The sequence below is a fragment of the Homo sapiens genome, chromosome 1, assembly GCF_000001405.40.
Source record: "Homo sapiens chromosome 1, GRCh38.p14 Primary Assembly".
NCBI classification, from domain to species: domain Eukaryota; kingdom Metazoa; phylum Chordata; class Mammalia; order Primates; family Hominidae; genus Homo; species Homo sapiens.
Genome location: NC_000001.11, coordinates 179215575 through 179228322, shown reverse-complemented (window position 1 = coordinate 179228322; position 12748 = coordinate 179215575). Strand labels below are relative to the sequence as shown.

The 12748-nt window shown below is 42.9% G+C and overlaps 1 protein-coding gene and 1 pseudogene across 8 annotated transcripts in view; one reads left to right on the top strand and one right to left on the bottom strand.

The window, feature by feature from the left end:
• ABL2 (ABL proto-oncogene 2, non-receptor tyrosine kinase) overlaps positions 1 to 12748 on the top strand; it is a 130348-nt gene that overhangs the window by 1355 nt on the left and 116245 nt on the right. The window lies entirely within an intron of this gene.
• LOC100499223 (beta-1,3-N-acetylgalactosaminyltransferase 1 (Globoside blood group) pseudogene) lies at positions 6089 to 7843 on the bottom strand (annotated as a pseudogene).

The window sequence follows — 12748 nt, the reverse complement described above, 5'->3', positions numbered from 1 at the left end:
CATGATGGAGTGCAATGGCGGGATGTCGGCTCACTGCAATCTCTGCCTCCCGGGTTCAAGTGATTCTCCTGCCTCAGCCTCCCGAGTAGCTGGAACTGCAGGTGTGCACCACCACGCCCGGCTAATTTTTGTATTTTTGGTGGTGGTGGGATTTTGTCATATACTCCTGACATCAGGTAATCTGCCTGCCTTGGCCTCTCAAAGTGCTGGGATTACGGGTGTGAGCCACCACCGTTCCTGGCCCAAACTCTTTTTTTTTTTTTTTTTTTTTTGGAGACGGAGTCTCATTCTGTCGCCCAGGCTGGAGTGCAGTGGCGTGATCTTGGCTCACTGCAACCTCTGCCTCCCAGGTTCAAGCGATTCTCCTGCCTCAGCCTCGGAGTAGCTGGGATTACAGGCGCCCGCCACCACACCCGGCTAATTTTTTGTGTTTTTAGTAGGGTGGGGTTTCTCTATGTTGGCCAGGCTGGTCTCGAACGCCTGACCTCATGATCCACCCGCCACAGCCTCCCAAAGTGCTGGGATTACAGGCGTGAGGCACTGCGCCTGGCCACATGTCTCCTATTGAAGATGTGCTTGAGTGTCTCTTTCGGGTATATGAACACTTTATGAAGGTGATATATGAGCTAATCTTTATTAAAATCACTTCCTAAAACACAGGATGGAAGAATGGATTAGTAGTTTACAGGGAAGAAATCATCCAAGTAAGCTTCACTTTGTGGGAAGTGTTACTATGCATTAAACTTGGCCTAGTAGGCAATGGTGATCCTCTTGCTTTACTATCTTATTCGGTATGTAAGATTTTCCAAGAAAGAGGAAGTCATGAAGAATGGAATAGGAAGACATTTTGAGGATTTGGATCTATGGAGAGGGAGAACAATTTGGGTAGAAGAAACAACTTGAACGGGAACATGGGAATAGATATAATTTGTTGATGGGCTAGTGAGGAGACAGCTGTCAGGAATGAAGCATCATTATGAGTTGGAAGAAAAAGATCATAGAGCAAAAATTGGAAGAGTCAAGTTCTGGTTCTGGCTCCACCTGCCTGGGTGATTTTAGTCACCATCTTTGGGTTTCTTTATCTGTAAAGTGAGGAGGTTGGACTGGATGATCTCTAAGATACTTTCTGGTTTTAAGATTTTATGATTCTAATTAAGAAGCAGTAGAAAGAAAATTTTGATAGGCTGGATGGGACTGGGTTATGGAAAATCTGGCAGAGAAGTTTATATCCATTTACCTGATTGGCTAGTCTTTACCTGAAAGACTGGCCTTGAGTGGTGGCAGTGGAAATGGGAGGAGTAATTTCAAGGGTCCTTTCATTCATTCAACAAACAAGGGTTTTTTTTGAGCACCTGTTATGTACTGGATTGTGGGAATGTTGCTGTGAACATAACAGAGTCCCTGCCCTTTGGAACTTAAAGGACTTTATGATTTGATAGAGGATGAAAGAAGAGAGATCACTTTGGAGTATTTGTTAAGGGCATGAACTCTGGACCCATTTTTCCTGGATTTGAAACCTTGCTTGGCTGCTTATGAGCTTTGTGACCTGGGACAAGTTATTTAACTTTTTGTGTCTTGGACTCTTCATTTGTAAAGTGGTGATAATAATAGTACCTAGTATTAAATGAATAGTGGCTGGGCACATAGTATGAGCTAAATGTGTGTAGCTGCTGCCATTACTAATACTACTGTTATTATTAAAAACAGGAGTAATTCGGCCAGGTGCGGTGGCTCACGCCTGTAATCCCAGCACTGTGGGAGGCCGAGGTGGGCAGATCATGAGGTCAGGAGTTCGAGACCAGCCTGAGCAACATGGTGAAACCTCGTCTGTACTAAAAATAGAAAAATTAGCTGGGCATGGTGGCACGCGCCTGTAGTCCTAGCTACTCAGGAGGCTGAGACAGGAGAATCGCTTGAACCCGGGAGGTGGAGGTTGCAGTGAGCCAAGATCGCGCCACTCCAGCCTGGGTGACAGAGCGAGACTCTGTCTCAAAAAAAAAAAAAAAAAAAAAGTAGGGATAATTCAAAGATGACACCAGGATTTAGAACCTGGCTAACTGGGATGATGAAGATTCTATTGACAAGTTTGGAAGTTAGAAGCTGATTGAAAAAATGGGAATAGGTCGAGTTTATTGCCAAAGACTAGTATGAAAAGAAAGGAATTAGCAAATAATATAGGAAACAAAGGTGCAGTGAGTACTGTTTTTTAGACAGATGGGTTTAAAAAGTTTTTTTCTGTACATCATAGTTTCTTTTTTTTTTTTTTTTTTTTTTTTTTTGAGGCGGAGTCTCACTCTGTCGCCCAGGCTGGAGTGCAGTGGCGCGATCTCGGCTCACTGCAAGCTCCGCCTCCCGGGTTCACGCCATTCTCCTGCCTCAGCCTCCCGAGCAGCTGGGACTACAGGCACCTGCCACCACGCCCGGCTAATTTTTTTTTGTATTTTTAGTAGAGACAGGGTTTCACCGTGTTAGCCAAGATGGTCTTGATCTCCTGACCTCATGATCCGCCCTCTTCGGCCTCCCAAAGTGCTGGGATTACAGGCATGAGCCACCGCTTCCGGCCACGTCATAGTTTCTTAACCTCGGCGGCATTGATATTTTGGGCTGGCTAATTCTGTGTTTTGGGGGGCTGTCCTGTGCATTGTAGGATGTTTAGCAGCATCCCTGGACTCTACCCACTAGATGCCAGTAGCACCTTCTTTTTGCCCCTTACTTGTTATAAAAATGCCTCCAGACATTGTTAAATCTCTTGGGGGGCAGAATTGCCCCTAGTTGAGGACACCACTTAGAAATGTGATAGATTCTGAATTGAATGAATGAATGAATGAATTAGATTCGAAAGCTTCTCAGTGGATGTATCATTTGACCTTTACATGGTAAATGTAGGTGCTCGAATCTAGTGTACAAATTACTGTCTTGAGTTTGCCATATTGAGGTATTAGCACATAATTTCATATATGAATGTTAGGTCTGTTAGACTCTTGGGTTTACATGTAGGTTTTAATATAAGCCAAATAATACATTTAGTTAATCAGTAAAAAGGTACATACATTATGGAAATGGTTTATCAGAGTCCAGGACTTTTCTTTCTTTAGCTAAAATGGTCATTTTTTATCGTTAATAATATGTGGGTAAGCTGTGATAATAATTTGCCTTGCCAAAAGTGATTTTTGTGAATGTAATTTAGAAGGAACAAAAATAATAGAGCCATTTTTGGTATGAAAGGAGTGAGTGCTGTGTGACTTTTCTGAGATCTGCTATTTTTTTTGTCAACTCTTTTATTTTATGTTTTATTTTAGAGAAAGGTCTTGCTCTGCCACCCAGGCTGGAGTGCAGTGCTGCGATCGTAGATCGCTGCAGCCTTAAACTCCTGGACTCAAGCAATCCTCCTGCCTCAGCCTCCCGAGGAGCTGAGACTACAGGCACACGCCATCACACCTGGGTAATTTTGTGTTTTTTTTTTTTTTTTTGTAGAGACGGAGGTCTCACTATGTTGCTCAGGCTGGTCTCAAACTCCTAGGCTCAGGTGATACTCTGCCTCGGCCTCCCAAAGTGCTGGGATTATAGGCGTGAGCCACTGCGAGAGGCAAGCTCTGCTATTAAACCTTTCTGGTGAGCTGATGTTTCATGACTAATAATCTAGGGTTGAATACTTACTTGCTGTTGAATATCTCACATACCTTTTAACAGCTGAATGATTTTACTTTAGCTTCCCTCTCTCATTTTCTAAAAATTCTATTAAAAATTAACTTTAGGCTGGGCGTGGTGGCTCACACCTATAATCCCAGCACTTTGGGAGGCCGACGTGGGCAGATCACCTGAGGTCAGGAGTTCGAGATCAGCCTGGCCAACATGGTGAAACCCTGTCTCTACTAAAAAAATACAAAAATTAGCCAGGTGTGGTGGCGGGCACCTATAGTCCCAGCTACTCAGGAGGCTGAGACAGGAGAATCCCCTGAACCCCGGAGGCGGAGTTTGCAGTGAGCCGAGATCGCGCACCTGCACTCCAGCCTGGGCGACAGAGCAAGACTCCGTCTCCAAAAAAACCAACAAACAAAAACCCTTACATTATGAAGTTTGGAATAACAAAAATTTTTCCTTAAATCAAACTCATTATTTTAAGTGATCTGATTTATTTATTTATTTTTTATTTTGGATCTGTAGTTTTTTTTTTTTTTTTTTTTTTTTGTAGTGAGTAGGGTCTCACTCTCTTGCCCAGGCTGGAGTGCATTGGCGAGATCATGGCTCACTGCAGCCTTGACCTCCCAGACTCAAGTGATCCTCTCACCTCTCAGCCTCCTGAATACCTGGGACTATAGGTGCACGCCACCATGCCTTTCTATTTTTTTTTTTTTTTTGTAGAGACAGAGTTTTGCCATGTTGCCCATGGTGGTTTTGAACTCCTGGGCTCAAGTGATCTGCCTGCCTTGCCCTCCCAAAGTCCTGAGATTACAGGTGTGAGCCACCGCACCCGGCCAGTAGTTCATGTTTTAATCTTTGTGGAATGAAGGCTGTTGGCACCCCAGGTTGAAAACGATGCTATGGAAAGCACAGGAAGGCTGTTGTGAGGGAATTTTAATTGTGGTGACTTAATATAAGAACTAAACTTCATTTTTTATTTTTATTTATTTTTCTTTTTTTCTTGAGTGCCAATCCTGCAGACTAAACTTTTAAAAAAAAATCAGCTGTTAGATTTTTATTAATCTCCAAATCTGTGTAAGTTATAGATGTGTAGTTGGGGTCCATATTTTTAGCAAAGTAATAAGTTGTGGTACAGATTCTGTTCTCATAGCCCACTTGGCAGTAAAATTCCAAGTAAAGTGATGAAGTCTGAAGTTTCTCTGTAAGGGTCTTCAGCCTGCTTTATTCGATAGTTTATTTATTTACTTAGGTGGTTTTTTTTTTTTTTTGAGACAGGGTCTTGCTCTGTTGCCTAGGCTGGAGTGCTGTGGCATGATGATAGCTCACTGCAGCCTCAAACTCCTGGCTGAAGCCATTCCTGACTCAGCCTTCTGGGTAGCTGGGACTATAGGTGCGTGCTACCATGCCTGGCTAATTTTTAAATTTTTCTGTAGAGATGGGGTCTTGCTGTACTGGGCCAGGCTGGTCTTAAATTCCTAGGCTCAAGTGATTCTCCCACCTTGGCCTCCCAAAGTGCTGGGATTACAGACATGAGGCCCTGCATCTGGACTTTTTTTTTTTTTTTTTTTTTTGAGAGGGAGCCTTGCTCTGTCTCCCAGCCTGGAGTGCAGTGGCGCGATCTTGGCTCACTGCAACCTCCTCCTCCTGGGTTCAAGCAATTCACCTGCCTCAGCCTCCCGAGTAGCTGGGATTACAGGCGGCTGCCACCACACCTGGCTAATTTTTGTATTTTAGTAGAGATGGGGATTCACCATGTTGGTCACACTTGTCTCGAACTCCTGGCCTCAAATGATCCGCCCACCTCAGCCTCTCAAAGTGTTAGGATTACAGGCGTGAGCCACTGTGCCCGGCCTGTTTTTTTTTTGTTGTTGTTGTTATTTTAAAGGTATTTTAAATATATTCCTCTGAATATCATCTTTAAAGGATCTGACATGATTTTTGTCAAAATAAATCATAAGGTGTAACCAGTTTGTGGGTTCCTGGTGAGTTTCAGGCCAGGCGCGGTGGCTCATGCTGGTAATCCCAGTACTTTGGGAGGCCGAGGTGGGTGGATGACGAGATCAGGAGATCGAGACCATCCTGGCCAACATGGTGAAACCCTGTCTCTGCTAAAAATACAAAAATTAGCTGGGCATGGTGGCGCGCACCTATAATCCCACCTACTCAAGAGGCTGAGGCAGGAGAATCGCTTGATCCTGGGAGGCAGAGGTTGCAGTGAGCCGAGATCGTGCTACTGTACTCCACCCTGGGCAACAGGAGCAAAACCCTGTCTCAAAAAAAAAAATTAGCCAGGCATGGTGGCGGGCACCTGTAATCCCAGCTACTCAGGAGGCTGAGGCTGTAGAATCACTTGAACCTAGGAGGCGGAGGTTGCAGTGAGCTGAGATCACGCCACTGCACTCCAGCCTGAGGGACAGGGCGAAGACTCTGTCTCAAAAGAAAAAAAAGTTAAGTGTAAGCCAGTACACTGACCTCTCCATGAACTTTTCACAGTAGGAACTTTAACACTTTCCGCAGAGTATCCTGTTCTTCTAGGCTTTTCATAGAATGCGAAGTTAATGGCATGTGATGTTCCATAGCATAATCTGCTAAAAAGTGATCATCTCCTTGGAAGAAAAGCCGTGGGCTGCAATCACACATCCAAATTGACAGACATCTGAATGGATTCTATATAGAAAGAAAAGATTCGTGTCTTCTGGAATATGAATGTCCACTTTTAATAAATTCAAACAGATCCTGACATAAACATCATGGGTTTTACGTGACCCATCATTTCATGGATCCTTGGCACCAAATCTTTGGGCATTGTATAACCCAACCCACTGCAGTAGGGAGGAAACACCTTGAAAGGACACTCCTGGTATGAAATACGTTTTTTTTTTTTTTTGGTAAAATCCTCTATGGGAATAATTATCAATTAGGGGATAACCTGTGAAAAACTTCTCTGAGTGGTTTAAGTTTAAAAGATACTACACTAAATTGCCAGTATTGATGAACACATAAGTGTCTGTTGTCATGATGTAGTTGGCAATGGGGCAAAACTCAGTTACCCACCTGAATGCCATAATAGGTTGTTTTTGTTGTTTGTTTGAGACGGAGTCTTGCTCTGTCACCCAGGCTGGAGTGCAGTGGTGCGATCTTGGCTCACTGCAGCCTCCACCTCCTGGGCTCAAGCAATTCTTGTGCCTCAGCCTCCCAAGTAGCTGGGATTACAGGCACACGTCACCATGCCTGGCTAATTTTTGTATTTTCAGTACAGATGGGTTTTCACCATATTGGCCTGGCTGGTCTCAAACTCCTGGCCTCAAGTAATTCACCTGCCTTGACCTCCCAACGTGCTGGGACTACAAATGTGAGCCACTGTGCCTGGCCAGTTTTCAAGGTCAGGTTTTTGTATGTGTCTAAAAAATCTCGTTGGATTACATCACTATAAAGAAGATGTTAATCGTCCGAGGACAGTGCTAACAGTTTGTCTTCTCTTTTAGCCCGTTGGCCTACTAAGAAAAATGTGAGAACCTCATATCGCCATCAAGACTTTTTTCACCCCAAGTAACTCTAATGGCCTGTCTGGCTTTCACATCTGAGGGGTGGGAGGTCACTAGGATAACCAGAATTGGATTTTGATCAGAGCAGTTTGAATGCTCTCAAAATGTGAAGTGAAAGCCTCATCTGTAAATTGGCTCATACTTGTAAAAGTACATCCAGTCTACATATTCTGTCACATTGTAGTGGGGAAGGCTGAGAGGTACCACATCAGGAGGAGAGTCAGGAGTGGCAGCAGCAGGAGACCCCATGTGAGAGATCTCAGTGGGAAGGGCAGTCTGGAGAGCCAGGGCCATCCACAGCAGCTCAGAAGCTTGCGAACTGCAAGTTCTTCTTGATTGATTTCTTCTGAGTGAAAAGACCTTCAGTTTCACCAGTTGAACATTCAGCAGTATGTAGCTGTCAGAAATAATGCTACTGAAAACCAGACTTTCAGACTGGCTTAAAATCCTGCCATATACTGCTTATAAAACACATACCTGTAGAATTTCAGCAGAGATTAAAGCACTAGCTGAAGTTTGTTTTCTGTATTCCATGCTTTAGTCAAAACACTCAAGATTTGCTGTGAACTACTCCATAAACAGAAAAAAAGACATGGTTTGGTAATTTCTTCCTTGGTAGATTTTCCTGACAAAGTGACCATCGCCTAAACAAGGCACTGTCCTGTGCGGCACATACCCAGCTCACAAGTGGCAGGCAGCTGGTGCTCAACCTGCTTTAAACGGAAAACAAAAACCAAACAAGAAAAACCAGCATCTCCCCACCATTGTATGTTTTTATTCCTCTTTACTTCAGTCTCTTTCAAAATAGGGAATGATAATGTTTGTGTAGTTTTTAGAGCTTTTGAAGAAGACCTTTTATGTCTTTCATCTCACTTGACCTTTACAACTACTCTGAAATAGGTGAAGCAGGTATTAATCTTCCCATTTTGTAGATGAAGAGTTTAGAAAATTAAGTGACTTCTTGAGGTTACATAGCTGTTAAATGATAGAGCTGGGACTGATAGTTTTGTCTCCAAGTCTTGCCATAATGTGGAGATTTAGAGAATGTGGGTTTTAAAATCAGTTATAATTGGATATAAATCTTGCTTTGTGTCTGACATTGGTACATGGTTTATCCCTCACAACAGGTTGTTGAAATAATTAAGTGATAAAATTGTACGAGACTCTTAAGTGCCAGGCACTGTGGTGCTCAATAAATATCAGTTTTATTGTCATTATTTACCTCAAGATGATTGTGAAGATTATATGAGTTGTATGTGAAAATGTTTTGTAAACCTAAGCACTGCTATTGTTATCATTGTGATGGCATGCCAAAGTGTAGAATTGCCTTAGCATTTATATTTATTACTTCATTTTCTCTTCTTATTAAGCTACTCTTATTAGAGGACTTTCAGAAAGCAGTAAAAGGTAAGGGAATTTTGGGGATCTGAAATCACAGGAGAATCTGAAATCACTTTAGGTCTACCTTCCTTGTAAGGTAAGTGATATCCTCTCTAGACCATTTGTCTTTGTCTTAGGGACTGGGTATCAGTATATGTAGTGCCTGGTTCTTGTAGACATCTTTTTCTTCCATCAAAGAACTTGAACCAGAAACACTGGCCAATGCAAATTTAAAGTTGATAGAGACTTCATTCTAAGTTGGCCCATTTGTTTGCTGGTTAATAGTTAATGACTTTTTTAAATGACTTTGTTGTAACCTTCTTCATCTGACATCCTTTAAGACCTTTTTTTTTCTTCTTCTCTGTGTTATTTTTACCTCTGGATGTAAAGTTTCTTCTTAAAGGCTTGTTTAGGCCAGGCATGGTAGCTCACGTCTGTAATCCCAGCACTTTGGGAGGCCGAAGCAGGTGGATTGCTTTAAGCTCAGGAGTTCAAGACCAGCCTAGGCAACGTGGCGAAACCCTGTCTCTACAAAAAATAGAAAACCTAGCCAGGCGTGCTAGTGCACACATGTAGTCCCAGCTACTGGGGAGGCTAAGGTGAGAGGATCACTTGAGGCCAGGAGGTTGAGGCTGCAGTGAGCCATAATCACGTCGCTGCACTCCATTCTGGGCGACAGAATGAGACCCTGTCTCAAAAAGAAAACTTGTTTAGTGTGATTATCTTCTTGAAGTTGTGAGTCAGATGGGCTTTTTCTTAATGTGGCACTGCACATACAGAGATTTCAAAATACTTAAGAACCTTTTCCATGTTAACAGATGTCTTCTGGACGAGGTAAATATGTAGCTACTTCAAATCATATAGAACAGTTCTGAAACTTGAGCGTGGAGAGCTTGTTAAAGCAGATTGCTGGGTCCCACCTCCAGGGTTTCTGATTTAGGGCTGAGGAGGAGCTCAAGAATTTGCATTTCTGGCAAATTTTCAGGTGTTACAGGTGCTGCTGGTTGGGGACCATGCTTTGAGAATCTCCTGCTCATGTGAGATTAAGAAGAGTACTTGGCCTGGTGTGGTGGCTCACGCCTGTAATCCTAGTGCTTTGGGAAGCCAAGGCAGGTGGATCACAAGGTCAGGAGATCAAGACCATCCTCCTGGCCTACATGGTGAAACCCCATCTCTACTAAAGATACAAAAATTAGCTGGGCGTGGTGGCGTACGCCTGTAGTCCCAGCTACTCGGGAGGCTGAGGCAGGAGAATTGCTTGAACCAGGGAGGCAGAGGCTGCAGTGAGCCGAGATCGTACCACTGCACTCCAGCCTGGGTGACAGAGCGAGACTGTCTCAAAAAAAGAAAAGAAAAGAGTACTTGATCAGAGGTGATTGAATGACTGTCAGAAAACAGGATGTAATGTACTAACTCTCTTCAAAACTGGTTCAGAAATTCATTTGTTCCTAGCCTATTAGTGTCCACATGCAAGTCACCACAGTCTTATACCATTTTTTTGGTGGTTTATCTCTAAAAGTTCGTACATTAGAGGTCTCTTGAGAGACACATTTTTGAAAAAAATCTGGAGTTATCAGGGAAAGGGGAAGTAGAAAACAGTTCTGCTGACTCATTCTTGAGCAGATTGGGCTACAGTTCCTGGAAGAATTGGGTAATGAAATAATTGCCATTTATTGAGGGCTGTGTGCCAGGCATGTTCTAAGTACTCAATATCTGTTTTTTCTTTTAAAACTCATAAAACCCTCGTTGCTCAAATTAAAAAATATTAGAGACCAAAGAAGATGGGATGTCTGTTTGTGATTCTATAGTTTTGGTATATGCTGGTGCCTAGTTACCTTTTAGAATATGTGTGTATGTAGTTATACATATGTATGTATATATATAATACAAAGATTTTTAGGTATTTTTTACCCCATCTGTCTTGACCAGTGATGAGGTTTTCAGACTGGTAGACCAGGGTTAGATTTGTATAGTATGTGGCTATGGATTGAGTCTTAGATATATATGATGGTCTAATGAAGGAGAGGTGGGAACTCACCATACCATTTGGAATCTCATGGTAATGTTGAACTCCTGTCTTAATCTTTAGGCTTAGTGTTACTAATATTTCTTTTCTTTTTTTTTTTTTTTGAGGTGGAGTCTTGCTCTGTTGCCCAGGCTGGAGTGCAATGGCACGATCGAGGCTCACTGCAACCTCCACCCACTGGGTTCAAACGGTTCTCCTGCCTCAGCCTCCCGAGTAGCTGGGACCACAGGTGCATGCCATCACACTCGGCTAATTTTTGTGTTTTTAGTAGAGATGGGGTTTCACCATGTTGGCCAGGCTAGTCTTGAACTCCTGACCTCAGGTGACTCATCCACCTTGGCCTCCCAAAGTGCTGGGATTACAGGTGTGAGCCACCACACCTGACTGAGCCACAGGCCGAGCGGCTCTTTTTTTTTGAGATGGAGTCTGGCTCTGTCACCCAGGCTGGAGTGCAATGGTGCCATCTTGGCTCACTGCAACCTCGGCCTCTTGGGTTCAACCTCGGCCTTCTGAGTTCAAGCGATTTTCCTGCTTCAGCCTCCTGTGTAGCTGGGATTACAGGTGCACGCCACCACACCCAGCTAATTTTTGTATTTTTAGTAGAGACGGTTTCACCACGTTGGCCAGGCTGGTCTTGAACTCCTGACCTCAAGTGATCCGCCTGCCTTGGCCTCCCAAAGTGTTGGTATTACAGGCGTGAGCTCCCACGCCTGGCCTCCAATCATCTTATATTAGAATCTATGTAACTGGCCGGGTGAGGTGGCTCATGCCTGCAATCCCAGCACTATGGGTGGCCAGGGCAGGCAGATCATGAGGTCAGGACTTCAAGACCAGCCTGGCCAATGTGGTGAAACCCCACCTCTACTAAAAATACAAAAATTAGCCGGGCATGGTGGCGTGCGCCTGTAGTTGCAGCTACTCGGGAGGCTGAGGCAGAAGAATTGCTTGAACCCGGGAGGTGGAGGTTGCAGGCCCAGATCACGCCACTGCAGTCCAGCCAAAAAAAAAAAAGAATCTGTGTAACCACATGATATATTTAGCTTATTATTGCAATATGCAACTTATAAAGACCTTTTCCCCCAGGTGATAATGGCAGGAGAATTTTTAAAAAATTTTAGCTTAACACTCCAGAGCATTTTCTATTTTTTTATTCATTTATTCTGTACTAATTGCCTATGTTGATGGCTCTGAGAGAATTTTTAGATACAATTTAGACAGAACTGCTATCTAAAAGAATGTTGCTGATCAAATAGATGTTGATGAACATCCTTACGAAACAACTAAAAAGAGATGTGTGTGTCTGTGTTTGTGAGGATATTTTGTACAAAAACTCTTGGTTGCCTTTTTGGATTGAGTGCATAATTTCAGTATGTAAATTTGTTGTCATTATACTAATTAGAACATTTTGTCAGTATTTTCAAATGAAATTCACTCAAATTCATGGATAAATACACATTAAATATATTACTATCCAACGTTTAAACTTAGTTGCTTAAAAATATGAAAACAGCACTTAGCTTTTTTCCCACTTGCTGGTTGCTGTAAATGTGCTGATTCTGCCGTGGTAGAACTGCCGGCTTCTCTATAGTGAACTCTGCCATTATTGGCTTTTGATCCAGCAGAACGCTAAAGCTGGGCAGGCCCAGGCCATTTGTATTCTCGGGTTTGCTTTCTAGGGAGAAGAAGTGTTCAAAAACCTTTCACTTCATGTGGACAAGGTCAAAAAAATATTCTGGAGCTTAGTATAATACATAATATGTACACATGTAATTTTGTTAACATGTTTCTCTCTGTGTGCTAATTCCAGCAAATTAAAAAAACAGTACTGAGTTAGGACTGAAGATTACCACTTAGCATTTTGTTTCTAGGTAATTGCTAAGAAAACATTAAAAAAAACTGACAATACTAACAAGTACAATTTGTATCACTCATCTGTTCCTTATAGGAAAGAAAGGTTGATACCTGAAGGTTTTTGTTACAGTAGCTTTCTTTTACTCATTTTGAAATTGGCACTTTTCTTTTCTTTTTTTTTTTTGAGGCAGAGTCTGGCTCTGTTGCCCAGGCTGGAGTGCAGTGGCATGATCTCAGCTCACTACAACCTCTGCCTCCTGAGTAGCTGGGATTACAGGCATGTGCCACCACGCCCAGCTGATTT